Consider the following 25157-nt stretch of genomic DNA (forward strand, 5'->3'; position numbering starts at 1 on the left):
CATGTGAGGGGTCTAGGCTGCGCACCCTTTATGATAATCTAATGCCTGATGATCTGAGGTGGAACCATTTCATCCTCAAACCATCCCCACCCCGCTGGTCTGTGGAAAAATTATCTTCCACGAAACCGGTCCCTGGTGCCAAAAAGGTTGAGGACTGCCGATCTAAAGGGAGCACACAAAGTAATGACTCTTGGCAGGGTACAGTGGCTCATGCCTATAATCCCAGCACTTTGTTTGGGAGGCTAAGGTGGGAGGACCCCTTGTGGCCAGGAGTTCGAGACCAGTCTGGGCAACATAGTGAGACCCTATCTCTAAAAAAGTTAAAAATTAGCTGAGTGTAGGGTGCACACCTGTGGCCCTGATCCTCCTGCATCAGCCTCGCGAGTGGCTGGGACTCCAGGTGCGTGCCACCATGCCCAACTAAGTTTTGTATTTTTTTGTAGAGACGGGGTCTCACCTTGTTGCCTAGACTAGTCTGAAACTGCTAGGCTCAAGCGATCTGCCTGCCTCATCAAATTGTATGGTTTAACAGGATTAATTTTATAGTATGTAAATTCAAGCTCAATAAAGCTGTTATTGAAAAAGAATCCTCTGGCTGGGAGAGTGGCTCATGCCTGTAGTTCCAACACTTTGGGAGTCTGAAGAGGGTGCATCACTTGAGCCCAGAAGTTTGAGACCAGCCTGGGCAACACAGCAAGACCTTGTCTTTACAAAAATTAGCTGGGTATAGTGGTGTGCACCTGTAGTTCCAGCTACTCGGGAGAGTGAGGTGGAAGGATTGCTTGAGCTCAGGAAGGTAAAGGCTGCAGTGAGCCATGATTGTACCACTGTGCTCAGCCTGGGAAACAGAGTGAGACCCTGTCAAAAAAAAAAAAAAAAGAAGAAGAAAAGAGAGAGAGGGAAGGGGAGGGGAAGGGGGAAGAGAGGAAAGGGAGACATGAAGGAAGGAAAGGGAGAAGGAAAGGAAGGAAAAAAAGGAAGGGAGGAAGGAGAAAAGAAAAAGAGGCTGGACACGGTGGCTCACGCCTGTAATCCCAGCACTTTGGGAGGCCGAGGTGGACAGATCACGAGGTCAAGAGATCAAGACCATCCTGGCCAACATGGTGAACCCCGTCTCTACTAAAAATACAAAAATTAGCTGGGTGTGGTGGCGCGCACCTGTAGTCCCAGCTACTCGTGAGGCAGAGGCAGGAGAATCACTTGAACCCAGGAGGCGGAGGTTGCAGTGAGCCGAGATCACGCCACCGCACTCCAGCCTGGGCGACAGAGCGAGACTTTATCTCAAAAACAAAGCCAGGTTGTGTGGAAATCCTGTGGCTGTCCACAGCTGTCTGGCGGGTGCCTCCACAGCAGGCACAGAATGTGCCTGTGCCTCCAAGGATAGACTGAGCCCAGGGAAGGACTTCTTGCCAAGTGGATGCAAAGGCACAACTAGCAGGCCAGGCAACCCTGTCAGCCAGGTGTGGAGGCATGCACCTGTGATTCCAGCTACCCTGGAGGCTGAGGCAGGGGAATTGCTTGAACCAGGAAGATGGAGGTTGCAGTGAGCAGAGATCACGCCACTGCACTCCAGCCTGGGTGACAGAGCAAGACTCTGTCTCCAAAAAAAGAAAAAAAAAAAAAAGGAATGGGTGACAACTGCTGTTAGTTTCTGCACACCACTGGGCCCATCTGAACAGTAATCCTACAAAGAGTCATGGGAAATAGAGTCTTGTGGAAGATGTGCACATTTTGTTTCATAAGCTAATTTCTTGGTCACCTTCTTTCCCTCTTTGTCTTACAGAGTGAAGAATGATGAACTTGTGAAAGTTCAGGTATGGGTGGGCTGAGTGTGGAGTGGGAGGGTAGAGCCAGCCCAAGGGAAAAGGGCAGAATGCTGGGTCAGGAGTTTGATGCACTTTCCCTGTTAGGTGCACTTTCCCTGTTAGCATTGAGATAGGAGCTGCCTTATTGGTAACTAGTGGCCCTAAACCACTTGGTTATACCTAAGTTATATCAGATCTCAAGTGATTGTATGTTCCTGTGAGGCTCTTCCTAGTTATAGTTAGTATTTTATAATTTTGTGAGATTATTTTTAGTACGTAGAAAGGGGATTGCCTAGATGCTAATGGTGCTTCAGCCCATGAACTGGGAGCTCTAGCACATGAATAGTGGGTAATGATGGGAAGTAGCCACATTCCCGTTATTAACCCCTGCCTTCCCTGTTAGCTTCCTGCTTACATGCTTCAGGAATTGCCTGGGCACTCCACTTTTCTGGAGTTTCAGGGAAGACCTTAGATAGCTGCTTGTTGTACCGATTTAGGTTTTCCAGGACAATCTGGTCTCTCTTTGCACCAATCTGGTGGATGATCTGGACTTCATCTGTGAACAGACAAAGAAACAATGAGTCCCCTATAACCTCCCTATTTCCTTTCTCCCTGGGTTCCTAATCACCAGGATCAGACCCAACTTCCTTTTGCCCTAATCTAAGCCCCTAGGATCCATGACTGCCATACTCTGGGGCATCCCTTGAAGGTGACCATTGCTTAGAAATATCACAGTGATAAATCACTATAGTGTCTGTGGGGGAAAAAAAAAAGAAAAAGGAAATGTCATAGCTAGTCACCTCATTAGAGGCCTGGGAGCCAAGGATGGTGATTTCCTTCCTAAGGCAGAACCTATGGCCGGGTGTGGTGGCTCACACCTGTAATCTCAGCACTTTGGGAGGCCGAGGTGGGTGGATCACATCATCAGGAGTTCGAGACCAGCCTGGGCAACACTGTAAGACCCCCGTCTCTACAAAAAATACAAAAATTAGCTGGGTACAGCTACTCGGGAGGCTGAGGCAGGAGAATCAGTTGAGCCTGGGAGGTGGAGGTTGCAGTGAAGATAGCACCACTGCACTCCAGCCTAGGCAATGGGAGTGAAACCATTTCAAAAATAAGAAAAGAACCGGCTGGGCACCATGGCTCACGCCTGTAATCCCAGCACTTTGGGAGGCTAAGGAGGGCGGATCACAAGGTCAAGAGATTGTGACCATCCTGGCCAACATGGTGAAACCCTGTCTCTACTAGAAATACAAAAATTAGCTGGGCGTGGTGATGCGCGCCTATAATCCCAGCTATTTGGGAGGTGGAGGCAGAGGTTGCAGTGAGCCAAGATTGTGTCACTGCACTCCAGCCTGGCGACAGAGCAAGACTCCGTCTCAATAGAAAAGAAAACAAAAGAAAAGAACCTATGTAACCACTTAGAGGCCTTATCCCTTATAAAAAGCTAGATACTAAAAAAGAGGCACCTAATTAATCTCATCAGTCATGAATACTTAGAGTAATTTTGTTAAACACTTTGAGAAGACTTTCAGCTGCAGCAGTTTAGGAACAAGATGGGGCTTGGGAAGAAGAAACAGCTTGGAACACGAAGACCTAGATTGAGTATCCTGGAAGCCCAGGCATCTAAGGGACAGCAGTAGGGACAGGGAAGGTGGCAAACATTTACTGAACACCTTAAACAGACATTGAGCAAGAAGCATTACAGATGCTTTCTCATCTACTCTACTCAAAGTGCATTTTTGTTAACATCACTTCACAAATAAGGTACTTGTGGCTCAGAGGAATTATATAATTTACTGAAGGTTACTAAAAAAATACTGAGCCAGGATTTAAACCCAAATGTGCCTGACTCCAAAGCCCTGATTTTTTCCAACATAGCACCTTGGTGGGAGAATATCTCGAAGTGGGAGAATATCTCGAAGTGAGAGAAGGGAGAAGGGTAGATAGAGAAGAGATGGATTGTTCCCAAAGTCTTGCCAACTTTACAGTTCCACCCTTCATTGCCTCTTTAGTAAGATAGAGGGATAGAGAAAGCGGGGAGAGAGAGCAGTTCCCTCCCTATTAGTTATCACTCCCCGACCCAACTCCTGTGCTAGTGTGGGTGCTGGGTCATGAACATGAAAACCTGGGTCATCCAGGGCCTCTTGTCCATACCCACAACTGTTTCCAGCCCCCAGCAATCTTCCACCTTCCTGGCCCATGTCCCCGTGTGCCCCTACCACAGGGGCCCAGCTCTATTACCAAAGTAAATCTCCTGTTCAAAGGTGTTGTCTGTGGAGTAGGCAAACTTTCCAGCTCGGGGAGTCACCTGGCGAAAGTAGCTCTGGGTTTGGGGCTGGGAGAGGCTCGTCTTTTCATGGATATCCTCAGTGCTCTTGTTGCCAGGCATGATCTCAACTGTCTCTGCTTGTTGGAAGTAACTGGGCAATCTTGGCAGGGGTGAGAAAGGAGGGAAAAGGGGGAAAGAGTAGGAGGTGGATCCCCCTTTCCATTAAATCCACAGCTCGTTCCCTTTCCTCTTTAAGCTCAGCTCCTATACACGTGAGCATTGCAGAACACCAATGTTTAACTTTTAGCCTTGTCCCCATGGTGCCAGTTGAATGTGGAGCTGCCAGAAGGGCCTGTCTACAGCTGTCCTGCCTGGCTACTAAAGGATCCATGCCTTCTGCAGCCACCAAGCAGCAGGGCAGAGTGGCGGTGCTCCAGCATAACCCTTTTTTAACATTCGTACTCTTAGAGGCGGCATGGCCTTGGGGAAGGGATCCCACCTCCTTCGTCATCTCACTCTGTCTATTCTGTGTGTGGTTATTTAATGTCCATCCACCTGGTGGTGGACAGGCTGTAAGCTCCTTAAAGGTACATATCTGTGTCTGTTGCTTTTACATTGTATTCCCAGCACTTTGCAGAGTGCCTGGAAAGTAGCAAGAACATAATTTATATTTGTCCAATAAATGAATAAATAAATGGATTTCCACTGATTTTTAGTTCACTCTTGGAAATCAGGGATAGTGTAATAGCTCCAGTCTTCCCTCTAGCTATAAATGAGATAGAAGCAATCTAAGAAACATGTAGTCATCTTCTTCTCTCAGGTTGTCTGGTTCTCTGTCCTGCAGCTAGTCAGTTTTTGAGTCAGTGACACACTGGTTCCTTATTCAGAGTAAGGCAGGACCAAACCTCGGTGCTATGAGGTTCCTGCCTTCCTCACTCCACCAAGGATACATTTCTGGGAGCACCTGGTTGGTAACTACACCAGCAGTCTGATGGCAAAGTCTGCTGGAGAAGGTTGAGAACCAATCCCTTTAAGAGCAGTGGTTCCCAGCTGGGAATGACTTTGTTCCTCTTGGAGACATCTGGCAGTGTCTGAGACATCTTTGGTTTTCACAGCTAGGAGTTTGTGCTCTGGTGGGTATGAGCCAGGGATGCTGCTTGCATCCCATAATGAACAGGGCAGCTCCCACAACAAAAATTATCCAACCCAGAATGTCAGCAGTGCAAATTGAGAAACCTTACTTTGCAGAGCTCTCAGAGAGCAGGCCGGTGGTGGAGAACATGAAGTTGATGGGAGAGTGCATTCTGAAATCGGGAGTGTGAGTCCACCTGGGAGTCCCTAAAGGGGAGTCAGGGATTATCAAAGGTGCACTTGAGGCCCTGGCCAGTATACCTGTAGTAAACGGGAAGCAGCAGTTCTGGCTTCTTCTTTTCCTGTGGGGGCAGGATGACACTTTGATCCTCAAACTCTGCTGTCTCTTCTGCCTCCAGCTGTTTCAGGAGCTCCAGGTCACTGGCAGAGGTAAGCTCATCCCGAATGTGACTCCAGTCGTACTGCTGGCGCAGGAAGCTCTGCCACTTGTTGGGGGATGCCCCAGGCCTTCGAGGACGCTTGCTCTGGATCCATCGGGCTGTGCGCTCGTTCAGCTTTTCCAGCACAGTGGCCTCCCACGCTCTGGCCTCCTTCTCAGGAGGCAGAAGCCAGGCTTCTCTTTCCTCCAGGTTCACATCTAGAGAAGGTGGCCGACCCAGCATATCTGGATGCATGCAGGGATGATGGATGAGAGGGCGGGGTGCTTCCCGGACGGTGCTGGCTGGCTTTGATTTCTTCAGCTTCTTTTCGGGATTGGCAGAGCTTTCTGTCTTCACAGCCAGGGAGGTGTCTCCTGTTAAGGGACTTGAGGAACCCAGGAACTTGAAGCTAACAGGTTTCTGAGGCCGGGCCTTCCTGATCTGGGGAGTATGGATGATGTCATTGGTATTGTAGAGGTGGTCAAAGCTGTACTGGCTATAAGGAATGCTGGGCAGGCCTCGCTGCCACACCACCTCCTGAGAGAAGGTAAGGTTTGCAGCAGCCATTTTCAAATATTGGCTCTTGCGGTGTAGACGGTACTGTGAGCTGAAGAAGACCATAGGCACACTGGAGACAGAGGCACACTCCTCCTTGCCTTTCAATTTTGAGTAGTTTAAAATCATGCCCCATCCCAGTCGTGGGGGCAGTGACTGATAGAAGCAATGGGGGAGAAAGGTCTTTCCCTTCTGGGTCCTGGTCATACCGCGTCCCAGCAAATGCTTCCTTCCACACTGCCTGGCCTAGAGGAAAGGCCTGGAGATGAGACCTGGCACCTGTTAAGGGAATGGGAGGAACTGATGAGAACTCTAGAGCAGCAGAAATTGGTAGCCCATAGCAGTTCAGAAAGAGAATAACTTGAAAAACAGATGGAAAGGGGGTGGGGAAGAGCCATGTGAGTTAGAAGAACAAAAGAAGAAAATGGTGCAACATCCTAAATATTTCATGTATCAGACCCGTGTTTTTGGTTCTTATACTTGTTCCCAAAGCTCAGACCCTCATCTCCGTGTGAGGGATGACTGCTTTTCAGCAGTATCCCATGCTTCCAGTTTGTCTTTAAATGTTGCTTTCTTTCATTCAAAAGGCTTATAGTGTAAAGTTCAGACTATTCAGCATGGCATTCAGGGTTCTCCATGAGTTTGGCCTCAGTTTATGACTTTGTCCTGGCATGTAACCTCTGCTTGAGCCAGTCCAGTCTCCTGGCTGTTCTCTGAGTATCCTCTCTCCACATAATGAAGCTTCCTTCTGTGTCCTCTACATGAAATGGCCTTTCGTACTTGACACAAATTCTATCCAATTTCCAGGCCCAGCTCAATTTGTGCTGCTCCATAACTCTTTCTTGACCTATCCAGGCCACCAGGTCATACCCAAGTTTATAAATTCCTCCTGGTCTGTACCACTTACTTTAACTGTTAATCCTATGATACCTCGCATTGTTAAATATTTGAGACTCTAATTCCATTGCCCAGTGACCATGTCTCCCATTTCTTCTGTCTTTCAGAGTCATCCAGCACACCTATTGCTACATAGTTTTTATTGTTAAAATATTTAATAGCTGTAGGCCGGGCGCAGTGGCTCACGCCTGTAATCCCAGCACTTTGGGAGGCCGAGGTGGGTGGGTCACCTGAGGTCTGGAGTTTGAGACCAGCCTGGCCAACATGGTGAAATCCCATCTCTACTAAAAATACAAAAAATTAGCCAGGCGCGGTGGCATGTGCCTGTAATCCCAGCTACTTGGGAGATTGAGGCAGGAGAATTGCTTGAACCCAGGGTGGGGGAGATTGCAGTGAGCCAAGATCATGCCATTGCACACCAGCCTGGGCAACAAGAGCAAAACTCCGTCTCAAAAAAAAAAAAAAAAAATATATATATATATATATATATATATTATAGCTGTAACGTATTTTATCAAATAGGTAAATGGTTTTGACTCTTCATGAATTATTGGATGGGTTGTTTCCAGATTTTAGCTAGCATGGCAAACACTGTAGATAACAAATGCTTAGATTTAATGTTAGTTTAGTTTTGTTTTGTTTTCCTTTTGAAGCATTCCCTTGGCCTAATAATGATAGTTTTGGAATAACCTTGCTGAGGATTTTACGTAGGGAAGATATTATGATCTTCCTTTCCTATTTTAAGAAGCTGAGGTTCAGAGAGGTAGGTAAATTGCTTCAGATCACATAGCCCGTAAGCAGAGGAGTCAGGTTTCAAATCTAGCCTACTAGATCACAACTCTGGAGCACTTAACCTCCGTGCCACACTGGCCTTGGCCCAAGCACCACTCCCTACCACTCACTTTGTTGGCCTTGCCTCTCCAAGGAACAGGTAGGCCTCCTTATGTGTAAGGATGAAGGAGAGACCATTATTCCATATGTTTCTATCCTGCTAGTGTCAACTCCTGCCCGGTGTCCAAGGTGCCCATGCAGACCAGATCTGACTTGTTTCTCTTTACTCCTTAACACCCAGCACATAGCCTCTCTCCCTAGGGCATGATTTCTCTTACTGTCTTCCATGTGTAAAAGTGACCGTATTGTATTTCTTTCTGTTAAGGGCAAGTTCTTTTTTGTGTGTTTTTTTTCTTTTGTTTTGTTTTTTTGAGACAGGGTCTTGTTCTGTCGCCCAGGCTGGAGTGCAGCACTGGCACGATCATAGCTCACTGCAGCCTCAACCTCCTGGGCCCAAGTAATCCTCCTACTTCAGCCTCCCAAGTAGCTGGGACTACAGGTGCATGCGCCACCACACCCAGCTATCTGTTTTTTATTTTTAATAGAGATGGGGTCTCACTATGTTGCCCAGGCTGGTCTCAAACTCCTGGGGTCAACAATCTGCCTGCCTTGGCTTCTCAAAGCGTTGGGATTACAGGTGTGAGCTACAGCACTCAGCAAAGGCTCAACTTTCATCTAGATGCCATTAGGCCAGAATCAATAACCTCCCTCAAATTACGTGACACATGATTAATATGCTATCACTCCAGGACTTTTTGCACATAAGGCTAAATGTAATTGCTTCATCTCTTCACAACCATGAAGGCAACGTCTTCATGAAGGCAAGTTAAGAGAAAGAGGGTGGTCACAAGATGATGTTTTCTCCTGAAACAGTGGCTACTCCCACTGGCTGAAAATAGAAAGGCTAGAGCAAGACGGCCAAACAGACCCCTCCAGCGATTGTCTCCATGCAGGAACACCAAACTGAACAACTGTCCCCACAAGGAAAGCACCTTTAGGCCGGATGCGGTGGCTCACGTCAGTAATCCCAGAACTTTGGGAGGCTAAATTGGGCAAATCACTTGAAGTCAAGAGTTCAAGACTGGCCTGGCCAACATGGAGAAACCCCATCTCTACTAAAAATACAAAAATTAGCTGGGCGTGGTGGTGGGGGCCTATAATCCCAGCTACTTGGGAGGCTGAGGCAGAAGAATTGCTTGAACCTGGGAAGCAGAGGTTGCAGTGAGACGAAATGGTGCCACTGCGCTCCAGCCTGGGTGACAGAGTGAGACTCCTTATTTAAAAAAAAAAAAAAAGCATCTTCATAAGAAACAAAAAATCAGGTGAGTGATCACAGTACCTGGTTTTCACATCGTATCAAGAAGAGGCACTGAAGAGGGTGGGAAAGACGGTCCTGCATCGCCTATGCCCCCCTCCCTCACCTCTGGCACAACAGCTTGGAGAGAGAATCTGTGCATGTGGTGGAGCGAGAGGAGTGTGGGATTTTGCATTGGAACTCACTGCTGCCCTGTCACAGCACAGCACTACACTGAGCAGAATTCTGCTGGCACCCACAGAGGACACATTTAGATCAGCTCTGGGCCAGAGGAGAATCCTCAGGTAGAGTGGGACAGACCTGAGTCCCAGCTGGTTCTGCCACCAGCTGACCAAAGTGGCCTGGGGCCCTGAATACATATGAGTGACAGTCAGGTCACAAGGACTATATTCCTTAGGCAAACCCTGGAGATGCACTGGTCATGGAGGCAGTGGACTTTGGGTGTGTGTGACCGCGTGTGACACCAACTGTGGTGAACAAGGGAGTGCCTGCATCATTCCTCCCCCAACTCCAGACAGGGCAGCTCAGGGAGAGACTCCTACTTGGGGAAAGGAGAGGGAAGAGTACTCAAGTTGCAAGACAAAGTCCAGAAGACTTTGAGTAGCAGCTCAGCCACAGGAAAATAAAGCACCAGGCAGAATCCTGAGGCTCCTGATTCCAGGCCTTTGCTCCTAAGCTACATTTCCAGACCTACCCTGCGCCAGAAGGGAATCCACTGCTCTGATGGGTCAGATTTATCCTGGCAGGATTCCCCACCTGCTGACTAAAGTGCCCTTGGGCTTTGAGTAAATATCAGTGGTAGCTAAGCAGTTCTGGCCACAGGCCTTGGGCAGGATCCAATACTGTACTGGTCTGCAAAGCTTCAGGTGTGACCCAGTGCACTGCCATCTGTGGTGGCCATGGGAGTGCTCATGTCACCCTTCCCCCCAACTCCAGACAGCCCAGTGGGGAGAGAGATTCCTGACTGGGGGAAAGAGAAGAGACAAAGTGAGAGATGTTGCCTGGGTAACCGGGGAATTTTCCCTTATCTTACCCAAGGCCACCAAAGATACAGGAGTATCCAGGAGTTGGCAACAGTTGCAGGGGTCATAGGCTTAGGGCACCCCCTGGTATACATCAGCTGCAGAGACCGTAGGCTTAAGTCACAGCACTTAATCCCCTTTGAATATATAGAAAGCCTTCTCAAGGAGGATGGGTACAAATAAGTCCAGACTGTAAAGACTTGGAATAAATACCTAACTCTTCAATGTCCAGACATTGATGACCATCCACAAGCATCAAGAACATCCAGGAAAACATTATTTCACCAAATGGACTAAATAAGGCACCAGTGACCAATCCAGGAGTGACAGAGATATGTGACCTTTCCAGACAGGGAATTCAAAATAGTAGTCTTGAAGAAGCTCAAACTTCGAGATAACACCGAGAAGAAATTCAGAATTCTATCAGAAATTTCAAAAAGAGATTGAAATAACAAAAATCAAGCAGAAAGGCTGCTCTGCCTATGGAGTAGCCATTCTTTTGTTTCTTTACTTCTCTAATAAACTTGCTTTCACTTCGCAAAAGAAAAAAAATCAAGCATCACTTCTAGAGCTGAAAAATTAAGTTGACTAAAAAATGCATTGGAGTCTCTCAACAGCAGAATTGGTCAAGCAGAAGAAAGAATTGGTGAGCTTGAAGACAGGTTATATGAAAATACACAGTCAGGGCCAGGCAGGATGGCTCATGCCTGTAATCCTAGCACTTTGGGAGGCCAAGGCAGGTGGATCACCTGAGATCAGGGGTTCGAGACCAGCCCGGCCAACATGGCGAAACCCCATCTCTACTACAAATACAAAAAATTAGCCAGTCATGGTGGCAGGTGCCTGTAATCCCAGCTACTTGGGAGGCTGAGGCAGGAGAGTTCCTTGAACCTGACAGGCAGAGGTTGCCACCGTACTCCAGCCTGGGTAACAGGGGCAAAACTCCATCTCAAAAAAAAAAAAAAAAAAAAAAAAGGAGTGATTTAGGATGTCCCCAGATAAATGCCCTTTAGCCTGTGACGTAAAGAATCTTTAGTTACAATGCAAACATCCCAGAAAGAATACCATATTACCATTATCAATTATTAGAAATTCTTAAGGAGGCTATGCGCGGTGGCTCATGCCTGTAATCCCAACACTTTGGGAGGCTGAGGTGGGCAGATCACCTGAGGTCAGGAGTTTGAAATCAGTCTGGCCAACATGGCGAAGCCCCATCTCTACTAAAAATACAAAAAATTAGCGGGTGTGGTGGTGGGCATCCGTAATCCCAGCTACTCAGGAGGCTGAGGCAGAATCGCTTGAAGCTGGGAGGCGGAGGTTGCAGTGAGCCAAGATCGCGCCACTGGACTCCAGCCTGGACGACAAGAGCGAAACTTCATCTCAAAAAAAAAAAAAAAAAAAAAACTTAAGGAATAGTTATTATCTGATATGATGGCTTATTAAGAAGGAAGGGAACACATGATAGGTCTGTTTTGAAAAGGAATGGGGACAGAACAAAATATTACTAGGTCTGATCAAAAGAGGCTTGTTCTGGCTTGTCTTTGTCTGCCTTGGAGTCACGGGACAGGTGTAAGGCCAAATTGTGCACTTCCCAGTCATGTTACCTTGGGCAAATAATTTAAAATCTGTAGTTTCCCAATCTGAAAATTGAGTCTGATACCTGTTCTAATTTAGTGTTGATTGATATGAAGCTCAAAATCAGAAACATGTATGAAAGTTCTTTGCAAACTAAAATATATGTGTGAGGAATTGTTATTATTAGTTTAGAGGATGGACTGTTGTCCTTAGAAGGCAAGTCTCTGGGTCCTACAGTTAGATGCACTGAGCGCTTCGGGAAGAATTTAGGGCTATGGGGTACTCAGCAATTAAAAGAGAGGGTGCTTAGAGAAGGAAGAAAGGACTTATTAATGGAGTTTGGAGGCTCCTTATTATTGAAACTTACACATTACGTGACCAGCATTATGAGGCAGCACCCACTTCCAACAAATAGCCCTCTAGAACCAAAAGCAGAGTGGCAGGTCCTGGGTCCTTTTGTACACAGCATAAAAAATTAAGTCAATCGGCCAGGCGTGGTGGATCATGCGTGTAATCCCAGCACTTTGGGAGGCTGAGGCGTGTGGATCATCTGAGGTTAGGAGTTCAAGACCAGCTTGACCAACATGGTGAAACTCCGTCTCTACTAAAAATACAAAAAATTAGCCAGGCGCAGTGGTACATGTCTGTAATCCCAGCTACTTGGGAGGCTAAGACAGGAGAATTGCTTGAACCCAGGAGTCGGAGGTTGCAGTGAGCCAAGCTCGTGCCACTGCACTCCAGCCTGGGCAACAGAGTGAGACTCTGTCTCAAAAAAAAAAAAAAAAAAAAAAATTAAGTCAATCCTGGCATAACTGCAGACCAGGCCCTGGAATGAGCAACCCACCAGCATTATCTGCATTTCTAGGAACTTGGGCTAGAAGGGGAGGAATGGGGTTGGAAGGGTTAGGCTACATGCCTCTAGTTAAAACCTGATGAACTTCCTAGATCCCCAACTAGAAAATGTAGGAGTTGGACTAAATTCCTCTCCTGCCTCTAATATTTTATGAATACAGAACTCAACTCAAAATGGGTAGTATCTCAGAGATTCCAAATTTAGTTCTACTTTTCTGTTTGCTTATCAGTCGCTTACCCTCACCCTCTGGTCTGATACCTTTATCCTGTACAAGTGGTCAAAGTAGGTTGAGTAACGTGTGCTAAAAGGAGTAATATCTTGCATTCTCCCTTGTTATTAAAATAGAGGAAACTGCCTTGAAAGAAAAGACTAAAAAGCAATAAGCCTTAGTATCAGTATCTTCTGAAAGCTTTAAAAAAATAATACTCTCATCTCTACCAACAGATTTGGATTCTGAAGTTCTGAGGTGGAGTCCAAGAGTGTGCAGTCAGCTTCTGGGGTGGTGTTTGTTAGATACAGTTTTTTGTTTATTTATTTATGTTTGAGACAGGGCCTCACTCTGTCACCCAAGCTGGAGTGCGGTGGCACAGTCATGGCTCACTGCAGCCTTGCCTCCCAGGCTCAAGCAATCCTCCTGCCTCAGCGTCCCCAGTAGCTGGGACCACAGGTGTGCACCACCATGCCTGGCTAATGTTTTAAAACTTTTTTTGTAGAGACAGGGTCTTACTATGTTGTCCAGGCTGGTTTCAAACTCCTGGAATCAAGCGATCTTCCTGCCTTGGCCTCCAGAAATGCTGGGACTGCGCCTGGAATAGATACGGGTAAAGAACCTTTTACATCAGACTCTTGTGTCCTACTCCCAGAATGCTGATTCAGTAGCCTGCAAGTGAGGCCTAGAAATCTGCATTTTCACAAGCTCTCAGGTTTAATACACAATACATTTAAAGAAAGCACAGCCCAAAGGGTGTCAGTGGGGTGTATGAAGGAAGCCTGGTTAGTGGGGAGAGTGGGATTAGGGAACAGCTGCTTAACCTGGCTTGTTTCAAGTCCCCCTTTCTCCCTTTTTGCCCTCAAAAAGTTCCCCTCATTTTTTCCCCTCTACTTTCTAATTTCTCACCATGCACTCACACAGCTATACAGCTGTCTCCAGAGATTACTCTGGAAACTCTGCTATAAAGATGACCTGGTCTAATGCCTTGATTTGTTTTTTGTTTGTTTGTTTTTTTGAGACAGGGTCTCACTCTCCTGGAGTACAGTGGCGTGATCATGGCTCACTGCAGCCTTGACCTCCTGGGCTCAAGCAATCCTCCCACATAGCTGGGAGCATAGGCACATAGCACACCACTCTCGGTTAAATTTTTTTTTTTTTTTTTTTTTTTTTGTAGAGATAGAGTCTCACCATGTTGTTCAGGCTGGTCTTGAACTCCTGGACTCAAACGATCCTCCCACCTTGGCCTCCCAAAATGCTAGGAATACAGGCATGAGCCACTGCACCAGGCCTAATGTCCTGATTTTATAAATCCCAAAACTGGGGCCCAGAGAGGAGAGAAATCATTAAGATCACCATACTGCTTGGTATCTAAAGTAGTACTGACCCTTTTGACACCTAATCCAAAGTTTTTTCAGCTACCTCAGGTTGCCCCTCATCTTCCAGCTGACACCATCCAGCACCTTTCAGATACTGGCAAAGGAGCAGTGTTTCAAAATTACTTTCCAAATGGCCTCCTACAAGGCAGTCCTCAGAGAGAAGCAAGGTTCTGCATCTTAAACCTTCCTTGGTTTCTTAGGTTCCAAAGCTGTTTCTATCAGTCTCCAAGCAACCAACTCTTTAGAATTCCATGAGTCTACTCAGAGAACTTGTGGGTTCAGTCGGGGGTATATCTTCAACCATTTATTAAATTTCCTTCTTTGTAAACTGAGCTGTGAGAAATTGCATCTTATTTATTGATTATTTATTGAATGGTAGTTTCATGGAGTTTTTCGTCTTTTTTTTTTTTTTTGCGAGGGAGTCTCACTCTGTCGCCCAGGCTGGAGTGCAGTGGTGTGATCTTGGCTCACTGCAACCTCTGCCTCCCAGGTTCAAGCAATTCTCCTGTCTCAGCCTCCCATTACAGGCCACACCACCACGCCCCACTAATTGTTGTACTTTTAGTAGAGATGGGGTTTCACCATATTGGCCAGGCTGTTCTCGAACTCCTGACCTCAAGTGATGCACCTGCCTTGGCCTCCCAAAGTGCTGGGATTTGCAACTGTGAGCCACCACACCCAGCCTCTTGGTCATTCTTTGAAAAATAAACCTCAGCCAGGCGCAATGGCTGACACCTGTAATCCCAGCAACTTGGGAGGCTGAGGTGGCGGATCACCTGAGGTCAGGAGTTCGAGACCAGCCTGACCAACATGGTGAAACCCCATCTCTACTAAAAATAGAAAATTTAAAAAGAAAATCAGCTGGGCCTGGTGGCGCATGCCTGTAATCCCAGCTACTTGGGAGGCTGAGGCAGGAGAATCGCCTGGACCCAGGAAGCAGAGGTTGCAGTGAGCCAAGATCAGGCCATTGCACTCCAGCCTGGGCAGCAAGAGTGAAGTGCAGTCTCAAAAAATAAAAATAAAAAAACCCTCTAGATGTATGCGGCTCCATATTCTCCCACCACAAGGGTTTATAAATCCTGAGAAAGAGGCAAAGCAGGGAACACATGACCACATAGCTCTGGCAGGCGTCAGATTACCAGGCTGATAAAACAGATGGTAAAGTAGAAGCTGTCCGTTGACTTTTCCATTCCCCTTTCAGCTCCTCCACTGCTACTTAATCTCCTTTGCCCACACAGTTCAATCCTATTTTCCCTGATCTCCAAATCCTGGCTAGATTATTAGCCATTAACACTAGCTTTTACAAGGAGACTCTTCAATCTTGTATTTCTAGTAGTATAATTTCACACGTACAGAAATTCTTTAAGTCATAGAAGTCTTACAGATACAGAAATTCTGATCTTCAGGAGTCCTGTTGTGAAACAAACTAATTTATCCTGACAGCAGGAAAGATTTCTGGGCCTAAGGCTCTGTCTCGTTGACCCAGCTCATGCTATTCAGGTGGTCCATCTCTTGGTTCCAGGCAAGACTGCTGCTGCTGACCAACCTGAATATGGACTTTAGCACTTGGGCTCAAGCTGCACTCAGATGGTTGGACCACCATAAAAGAGCGAGAGGGTACGTTTTTGGTATGAAAAGTAAAGACTAGGCCGGGTGCAGTGGCTCACGCTCATAATCCTAGCACTTTGGGAGGCCAAGGTGGGCAGATCACAAGGTCAGGAGATTGAAACCATCCTAGCTAACACAGTAAAACCCCATCTCTACTAAAACATACAAAAAAATTAGCCGGGTGTGGTGGTGGGCACCTGTAGTCCCAGCTACTTGGAGGCTGAGGCAGGAGAATGGCGTGAACCCAGGTGGTGGAGCTTTCAGTGAGCCAAGATTGGGCCACTGCACTCCAGCCTGGGTGACAGAGCAAGACTCCATCTCAAAAAAATAAATAAATAAATAAAAAGAAAAGAAAAGTAAAGACTAAAAAAATTAAATATTATAACCCTGCTAAGGCAGGAGGATCCTTTGAGCCCAGGAGTTTGAGGCTGCAGTGAGCTATGATGGCACTACTGCAACCCAGCCTCAGTGACAGAGGGAGACCCTGTTTCTAATAAAATAAATCAAAACCCTGTTGAAGGTTCCTCAAAAAATTAAATATAGAATTACTATGTGATCCAGCAATTCTACTTCTGGGTACATATCCAAAAGAATTGAAAGCAGGGACTTTAACAGATATTTGTATACCCATGTTCATAGCAGCATACTCACAATAGCCAAACGGTGGAAAGAACCCAAATGTCCATCAGTGAATGAATGGATAAACAAAATGTGGAAGATACATACAACAGAATGTTATTCAGCCTTAAAAAGGAATGAAATGGGCCAGGCGTGGTGGCTCAGGCCTGTAATCCCAGCACTTTGGGAGGCCGAGGAGGGTAGATCACCTGAGGTCAGAAGTTCAAGACCAGCCTGGTCAACATGGTGGAACCCCATCTCTACTAAAAATACAAAAATTAGCTGGGTGTCCTGGTACGCGCCTGTAGTCCCAGCTACCTGGGAGGCTGAGGCAGGAGAATCACTTGATCCCAGGAGACGGAGGTTTCAGTGAGCTGAGACCGCGCCACTGCACTCCAGCCTGGGGGGACAGAGCAAGACTCCAAAAGTTCTGGAAATGGATAATGGTGATAGTTGTACAACAATGTAATGTACTTAATGTCACTGACTTGTACACTTAAAAATGGTTAAAATGGGCTTGTTCCAGCAGCTCATGCGTGTAATTCTAGCGCTTTGAGAGGCCAAGGCAGGATGATCACTTGAGGCCAGAGTTCGAGACCAGTCTGGGCAACATAGCAAGACCCTGTCTCTAAAAAAAAAAAAAAAAAAAAAAGGTTAAAATGAGGCCATGCATGCCTACAATCCCAGCACTTTGGGAAGATGAGGTGGTAGGGTCACTTGTTTGGGAAGAGGAGGTGGGAGGATCCTTTGAACCCAGGAGTTCAAGGCTGCAATGAACCATCATGGTGCCATTGCACTCCAGCCTGGGTGACAGAGCAAGACCTAGTCTCTAAAAAATAAGAGTTAAGGCCAGACACGGTGGCTCATGCCTCTAGTCCCAGCACTTTGGGAGGCTGAAGCAGGCAGATTACAAGGTCAGGAGTTTGAGACCAGCCTGGCCAACATGGTGAAACCTCGTCTTTACTAAAAATACAAAAATCAGCTGGCCGTGGTGGCATGTGACTGTAATCCCAGCTACTCAAGAGGCTGAGGCAGGTGAATCACTGGAACCCGGGAGCCAGAAGTTGCAGTGAGCCGAGATCAGACCACTGCACTCCAGCCTGGGCGACAGAGCAAGACTCTGTCTTGAAAAAAAAAAAAGAATTAAAAAAAGAAACATGGCCGAGTGTAGTGGCTCTTGCCTATAATCCCAACACTCAGGGAGGCCAAGGTGGGAGGATTGCTTAAGCCCAGGAGTTCGAGACCAGGCAACATAGGGAGACCCCATCTGTACAAATAATCTAAAAAGTTAGCCAGGTGTGGTGGTGCATGCCTGTGGTCCCAGGTGCTCGGGAGGCTGAGGTGGGAGAACTGTCTAAGCCTGGGAGGTTGAGGCTGCAGTGAGCTATGATCGCACCACTGCACTCCAGCCTGGGTAACACAGTGAGACACCCCGTCTTAAAAAACAAACAAGCAAATAAACAAATACTATGCATAAAACCTCAAGGCTCAAGAAACAACAGTTTGAAATAGTTAGATGTGTGTTTTTTTTAATTTTCATGTCTTATCTTTTCTGCTTTTTTTTTTTTTTTTAAGGGATGAGGTCTTGCTCTGTTGCCCAAGCTGGTATCGAATTCCTCCTGGGCTCAAGCAATCTCCTGCCTAGGCCTCCCCCCTAACAGCTGGAACTACAGGCATCTACCACTGCATTCAGCTACTGGGGGAGTGTTTGACTAGTCTTTTTAAAAAATATGTTAATATCTTGGTAAAAAGTATATTTATACTGTTCTCTAACCTGCTTTTTTTCATCAGTTTCATGGAAGAATGCTCATCATATATTCTTCTGCTTTATAACTAAACTGCTTTCATTTATGACATCACAATTAAACTGGTAAAACCAAATTTATATTGCTAACTTGTTTCTAATTTTTTCTCTATTAAAATGATATGATTAGCATCCTTGTAGCCAAATATTTACACATATTTATGAAGTTATACTTAAAACAAATTCCTAGACGTGGAACTGTGAGTCAAAGAGAAGGGATCTTTTAAATATTTTTGCATAGATTGCCATGAAAAGGTCATACCAGTTTATATATCCACCAATATGAGTTTCTTTTCCAAATCTTCTTCAACATCCTGTGAGAGACAGTTAAACATAGTTGTTCAGAGCCCAGCCTTGAGAATCAGATTTCAAACATATGAACCCTCTCCCTTTTTCTTTTCTTTTTCTTCTTTCTTTTTTTTTTTTTTTTTTTTTTTTTTTTTTTTTTTTTTGCCCAGGCTGGAGTGCAGTGGCGCCATCTTGGCTCACTGCAAGCACTGCCTCCAGGGTTCACGCCATTCTCCTGCCCCAGCCTCCCGAGTAGCTGGGACTACAGGCGCCTGCCACCACGCCCGGCGAATTTTTTGTATTTTTGGTTTTTTTTTAGTAGAGACGGAGTTTCACTGTGTTAGCCAGGATGGTGTCGATCTGCTGACCTCGTGATCCACCCGCCTCGGCCTCCCAAAGTGCTGGGATTACAGGCGCGAGCCACCGCGCCTGGCCCCTTTTTCTTGTTAGAGACAGGGTCTTATCCAGGTTGGTCTGAAACTCCTGGCCTTAAGAAACCCTGCCACCTCAGCCTCCAAGTAAACTGGGATTATAGGCGTGAGCCACCTCACCCAACTTCCACTTCCCAGCTGTATGATCTTCAGAAAATCAGTTAAATTCTCTGGGCCTTAATTTACTACTACGGTTCTTGTAAGTATTAACAATTAGCTACTATTATTTACCTTCTTTAGTTCCTGAGACTTCTATGCACAGAATATACTTGATGTGTGCCACAGAACCTATACAAAGGTAATTACAACTAACAGGGAGTTGTATGATAATGACATGGGACATGGGACATGAGAGCATTTGGAAAGAGATAAAAAGGCTTACCTTGAGGACAGCCTTATTAGGAGCAGAGGCAAACACAGGTTTTGTGAGTTTGAAGCTTACGCATTTATAGGTTTCTCTAATTACCAAGATAGGAAATTATGAAATCAGGTACAAGGGCTTGGGAGGGGCCTAAAGCTTAAGTTTGATGAAAAAAAAAAACCACCTCTGGTTGGAACCAATAGCCTATGAAAAAGTAGAAAAAAGCCCAATGCATGGGGAGCGCCGGTAGTCCCTTGAGGTGTTTGAGAGGCTGAGGCAGGAAGATGGCTTTAGCCCAGGAGTTTGAGGCTTGTAAGTGCGCAGTGATGGTAAACCGCCGCTGTACTCCAGACTGGCAACGTAGTGAGACCCTGTCTCTTTAAAAAAAAAAAAAAAAAAAAAAAAAGATGAGAGGTAACACTTGCCTGACTGGGACAAAAATGAGAAACCAGTATAAGAAAATAATAACTATTGGCCGGGCGCGGTGGCTCATCGCCTGTAAATCCCAGCACTTTGGGAGGCCGAGGCGGGCGGATCACAAAGTCAGGAGTTCGAGAAATTAATAACTATTACCTCATTTGGCTATTTTTACACCTGTAAGGAATAAAGCTCAGAGGTCACACAGCTAGTAAGAAGCCAGCACCCTTCGATGTGGGAGTGATGTGGAGGATAGGCATATACAGAGAACACGAAAGCAAAACACCATGGTGCAGATTTTGAAAGAAAAGCCCTAAGATTAGTAATGAGTGTGAATTATTCAACAAAGTGATCAAAACCAACTCCAGTCCTGCATTCCTCTTCGCCATCAGGAGTTTGGAGCCTGGAGACTGCTAGCTGCCTGGTTGTTGTTGTTTTTTTTTTTTTCTGAGACGGACTTTCGCTCTGTCGCCCAGGCTGTAGTGCAGTGGCATGATCTTGGCCAACTGCAAGCTCCACCCCCCGGGATCACGCCATTCTCCTGCCTCAGCCTCCCGAGTAGCCGGGACGAACCAGTCCTGGCCCAGCCCATTCCGCGAGCCAGCAAGCTTCTGAAAAGCAAACCTAGGAAGTTGCTTTCCAACATAAAGTGGAGGTTTCAACACAGGAGACTTTAAGCAAGTTCCAGTGTGTCTATATTTGGTCTGGCTGATCGGCTGGACTCTGGCCTTCCCCGCTCACATTAGCAGACAGCTCTGCCCTAGTGGGCGTTTAGCCTGCGACGGCAGCCCGAGAGGAAGAGTTGGGCAGAGTTGCAGGGGTCTCCACAGCTGAGGCAGTTTGGCCGGATTATTTGGGTTCCTGCTCGGATGGCGGCGACGCTGATCCTGGAGCCCGCGGGCCGCTGCTGCTGGGACGAACCGGTGCGAATCGCCGTGCGCGGCCTAGCCCCGGAGCAGCCGGTCACGCTGCGCGCGTCCCTGCGCGACGAGAAGGGCGCGCTTTTCCAGGCCCACGCGCGCTACCGCGCCGACACCCTTGGCGAGCTGGACCTGGAGCGCGCGCCCGCGCTGGGCGGCAGCTTCGCGGGGCTTGAGCCCATGGGGCTGCTCTGGGCCTTGGAGCCCGAGAAACCCTTGGTGCGGCTGGTGAAGCGCGACGTGCGAACGCCCTTGGCCGTGGAGCTGGAGGTGCTGGATGGCCACGACCCCGACCCCGGGCGGCTGCTGTGCCGGGTGCGGCACGAGCGCTACTTCCTCCCGCCCGGGGTGCGGCGCGAGCCGGTGCGCGCGGGCCGGGTGCGAGGCACGCTCTTCCTGCCGCCAGGTGACTCACCTCCGCTAATTGTTCCCCTCTGCCCATCCCTGTTCCTGCGCTTTCCACTGTGTGTGTGTGTGTGTCCCCTTCGCCCCGCCCCGCTCTTTTCGCTTGTGTGTGTGTCCCTCCTCCCGCCCCACCACCACCACCCCGGGCTATGTTGCCCAGGTAGGTCTTGAACTCCTGGACCCAAGCTATCCTCCCGCCTCTGCCTCCCCAAGAGCTAGGATTGCAGGGTGAGCCACTGCGCCCGGCCCTTTGAGGGGAGTTACACTTATTTTTTTATTTTTATTTTTTTTCGTCCCTGCGCTTTTCATACGGAGAAAGGATGTAGCTTCCAACATTCCGGAGGTTAGTGTAAGGAGACAGGAATGGAATGGAAAGTTGGTTGGGGAATTGCCCCTGCCGCTCCAAAACTGAGAGGTCCCTCAAACCTAGTGCTCAGTTAAAAGACATTGTAAGGGCTGGGCGCGCTGGCTCACGCCTGTAATCCCAGCACTTTGAGAAGCCGAGGCGGGCGGATCACGACGTCAGGAGATCAAGGCCATCCTGGCTAACACGGTGAAAACTCGTCTCTACTAAAAATACAAAAAATTAGCCGGGCGTGGTAGCGGGCGCCTGTCGTCCCAGCTACTCGGGACGCTGAGGCAGAAGAATGGCATGAACCCAGGAGGCGGAGTTTGCAGTGAGCCAAGATCGTGCCACGCACTCCAGCCTGGGCAATAGAGTGAGACTCCGTCTCAAAAAAAAAAAAAAAAAAAGGCATTGTAAGGAAAGAGAAAAGACACATAATATTAAAAACAAACAAAACAAAACAAAAAAAACAGGCCGGACGCGGTGGCTAACACCTGTAATCCTAGCACTTTGGGAGGCCGAGGCAGGCGGATCAAGAGTTCGAGACCAGCCTGGCCAACATGGTGAAACCCCGTCTCTACTAAAAATACAAAAATTAGCCAGGTGAGGTGGTGCACACCTGTAGTCCCACCTACTCGGGAGTCTGAGGCAGGAGAATCGCTGGAACCCTGGAGGCAGAGGTTGCAGTGAGCCGAGATCACGCCATTGTACTCCAGCCTGGGGGACAAGAGTGAAACTCCATCTAAAACAAAAACAAAAACAAAAAACAAACAACAACAACAAAAAATTTTCAAGTAGTTTCAATGTTCTTATTTATGTATGGACCAGGAAGTCACTTTTTTTTTTAATAAAAAGAATTCCAACTGGTTTTCTCACTGTATTTCCATGGCAGCTAGGAGGTGCCAGGTGGCTGGGCCTGTGACAGTGCAGAGGTTTTGGTGCCTGCCCGCCCACCATTGCTCCAGCTGCAGCTGCTGCCCCCTGCAGGGCCTGTTCGTTCCTGCTGCCTAGCTCCCTGCTGGCTGGCTATGATCTCCGTCCTGTTACCATTCCAGGAGAGCAGCCACCTCCCTGTGCATGGCAGGACCAGGTACTGATTGTGGCCTCTCCTCTTGGCCTCGAATGGTATCCTTGTCATCAGTGAGCAAGTCCCCAAAGACCACGGTCTTGTCCATTGTCAGGATAATTCACTCCACAAGCTGGGACTCCAGGTGCTGCTCTACCCAGCGGTGCTTCTCACCCACACAGTGGTCATACTTTGGCAGGGGCTGGTGCAGTGTGAAGACCTCGGTGTTTTGCATGTGCTTCATCTCTTGCAAGGCCCTCTGGGGTTGGGCTTCAAGACTAGGGAAAAGCCTAGGGCTTCACACCCATGGGCCACTTTATCCACCAGGTCCGGCAGCAGGGTGAGGTACTGCTTCCAGACCAGGAAGCTGCGGTGCTGCTGCAGTGTCACATGCAGCTCCCTGAGAAGCGGCGGCTGAAGCCCCACAGGATGCCGTCTGGAAGCTGCCAGCACGCGGTCCCTGTCCATCAGCACACGCGTGGGCTGTGCTCATCGCTGCCGGGGCACTGGGGTTTCTCGGGATCCTAGGGGTATGGGGCCCAGAAATGTTCTTTAAAAGTTTCTCATTTTTGCAACTTTTCTTTCAATTCACACAGTATGTTAAGGTTTATGTAAATTAGCATTTACAATAGGAAAGCCTCTTCCTGTCAAATGGAAATTTGAGGTTACTGGATACTTTTATATTACATAAAGAGCAATCAGCCAGTGTAGAAATGATGCTTATCCTTATTAATAATCAAAGAAATGCAAAATAAAACAACAGAGTACATTTCACACCCTCAGAAGTGGCCCACTTTTAGAAGCTAGCATTATCAATTGCTGACCAGTATGTGGAGGAAATGAAACTCACTGCTAGAAGGAGTCAACATATTCATCTGCTCTGGGCAACAATTTGTCTTAACTTACAAAGTTAAATATGTTATTCTACTTGTACATGTGCACCAGGAGGCATATTCCTTATAAGAGGAAAGCCATTGCAGATGAGCAGTCTGGATTAATTTAAAAAAAGAGCAAAGTCAACTGGAAACAGTCCAAATGTCCATCAACAATAGAACAGATTAATAAATTGAGGTATATTTCCAGCAGTCAAAGTGATTGAACTACAGCTAGAAGAATCAACATCTATCAAGATATACAAAAGAAAAGAAAAAAATAAAAAAGAATCAACATGGATGAATCTCCAAACCACTGTTGAGTGAAACAGTCAAACACTAGGAGAACACATTCAGTATCATTCCATTTAGATACAGTTCAAAAAATAGGCAAAATAAAATATTGTTTAAGGTACATAATCTAAGTGGTAATACTATGAAGAAAACCAAGAGTGATACACAGAAAGTCCAGGATACTGGAAAGAGAGGAAAGGGCACAGGGGTCTGTGGGACGTTGATGGTTTGCGGGTATCAGCACTGAACTATGTCTTAAAAGTGTTGCCTGTAAGGTGTTTGCATTCTTTTTTTTTTTTTTTTTTTGAGACAGTGTCTCGCTCTTTCGCCCAGGCTGGAGTAGTGGCACAATCTTGGCTCACTGCAACCTCCAACTCCCGGGTTCAAGCGATTCTCCTCCCTCAGCCTCCCGAGTAGCTGGGATTACAGGTGGCCGCCACCACACCCAGCTAATTTTTGTATTTTTAGTACAGATGGGGTTTCACCATGTTGGCCAGGCTGGTCTCGAACTCCTGACCTCAGGTGATCCACCCGTCTCAGCCTCCCAAAGTGCTGGGATTACAGGCGTGAGCCACCAGACCCAGCCTGCATTATTATTCTTTAATTTTGTGTGAAACACAAAACCTTTAATGTAAATGATAAAAATATTCAGTAAGTGGAGTCATTCAGAATGAGTAGCCTTTTGAGTCTGTCTCCATTGAATAAGTGCATTCTGTTGAGTGCACTGGAGAGGAATTTGTGCTCTTCTATGTAGCAGTCTTTCTTTTTGTTTCTTGGTGGTGCACCATTAAATGGATTCATTCACCAGTTAAAGGACATTTGGGTTGTTTCCAGTCTTTGGCTACAATGAATAAAGTCACTATAAACACTTGCCAGAAGTTTCTGGACGAACACAGGTTTTCATTTCTCGTGGGTAGATACCTAGGAGTGGGATTGCTGGGTCACATGTGTGGTAAGTATATGTTTAACTTGGTAAGAAACCATCCAACTGTTTCAGGAATAGCTTAGTTTTGCATTTTGTTTTGTTTCTTCCCAAGAACCTGGGCCCTTTCCTGGCATTGTGGACATGTTCGGAACTGGAGGTGGCCTGCTGGAGTATCGGGCTAGTCTGCTGGCTGGGAAGGGTTTTGCTGTGATGGCTCTGGCTTACTATAACTATGAAGACCTCCCCAAGACCATGGAGACGCTCCATCTGGAGTACTTTGAAGAAGCTGTGAACTACTTGCTCAGTCATCCTGAGGTGAGTTCTTCTCTCAGATTTATGGGCTATGATGTATCAGGTCTCTTCTTAAATGGTCTGGGTTTTCACAGAAGTTAGCTCATTCATGACAGCCATTCCCTACCCCAACACACACTACCTTTTTTAGTCACTTCTTATAGACAGTTTCTTTCTTTCTTCTTCTTCTTCTTTCTTTTTTTGAGATGGAGTCTCACTCTGTTGCCAGGCTGGAGTCCAGTGGTGCGATCTTGGCTCACTGCAACCTCCACCTCCCAAGTTCAAGTG

At 47.0% G+C, this 25157-nt stretch overlaps 2 protein-coding genes, 1 long non-coding RNA gene and 1 pseudogene across 11 annotated transcripts in view; 2 read left to right on the plus strand and 2 right to left on the minus strand.

Annotated features, from left to right (window-relative positions):
* Positions 1 to 25157, minus strand: part of HEATR4 (HEAT repeat containing 4) — a 155331-nt gene that overhangs the window by 38319 nt on the left and 91855 nt on the right. For 3 of the 7 annotated variants that reach the window (XR_002957552.2, XM_024449582.2, XM_011536761.4), the window contains exons 1-3: positions 5470 to 6350; positions 4050 to 4237; positions 2221 to 2361 (exon numbers count right to left, since the gene is read on the minus strand). Coding sequence is in view for 5 of the 7 variants with exons in the window: in XM_024449582.2 (XP_024305350.1) it covers positions 2221 to 2361; positions 4050 to 4237; positions 5470 to 6350 (1210 nt within the window). In the remaining 2 variants the exon portion in view is untranslated. Of the gene's footprint in view, positions 1 to 2220; positions 2362 to 4049; positions 4238 to 5469; positions 6423 to 13363; positions 13443 to 25157 lie in introns of those variants that run through there. The other 4 variants (XM_047431370.1, NM_203309.2, NM_001220484.1 and 1 more) reach the window with 3 other exon arrangements.
* The window catches only part of ACOT1 (acyl-CoA thioesterase 1), a 52864-nt gene that overhangs the window by 25870 nt on the left and 1837 nt on the right, over positions 1 to 25157 (plus strand). The window contains exons 3-5 of one of the 3 annotated variants that reach the window (XM_017021590.2): positions 1784 to 1814; positions 5568 to 5598; positions 24691 to 24893. In XM_017021590.2, the coding sequence (XP_016877079.1) occupies positions 1784 to 1814; positions 5568 to 5598; positions 24691 to 24893 (265 nt within the window). Of the gene's footprint in view, positions 1 to 1783; positions 1815 to 5567; positions 5599 to 20340; positions 21077 to 24484; positions 24606 to 24690; positions 24894 to 25157 lie in introns of those variants that run through there. The other 2 variants (NM_001037161.2, XM_017021589.2) reach the window with 2 other exon arrangements.
* LOC124903344 (uncharacterized) lies at positions 13370 to 14555 on the plus strand. Its single transcript, XR_007064263.1, has 2 exons — positions 13370 to 13457; positions 14263 to 14555. It is a non-coding gene; the product is annotated as an uncharacterized LOC124903344 (long non-coding RNA).
* Positions 22173 to 23030, minus strand: NT5CP2 (5',3'-nucleotidase, cytosolic pseudogene 2; annotated as a pseudogene).

This window comes from Homo sapiens, chromosome 14 (assembly GCF_000001405.40).
Source record: "Homo sapiens chromosome 14, GRCh38.p14 Primary Assembly".
NCBI lineage: Eukaryota > Metazoa > Chordata > Mammalia > Primates > Hominidae > Homo > Homo sapiens.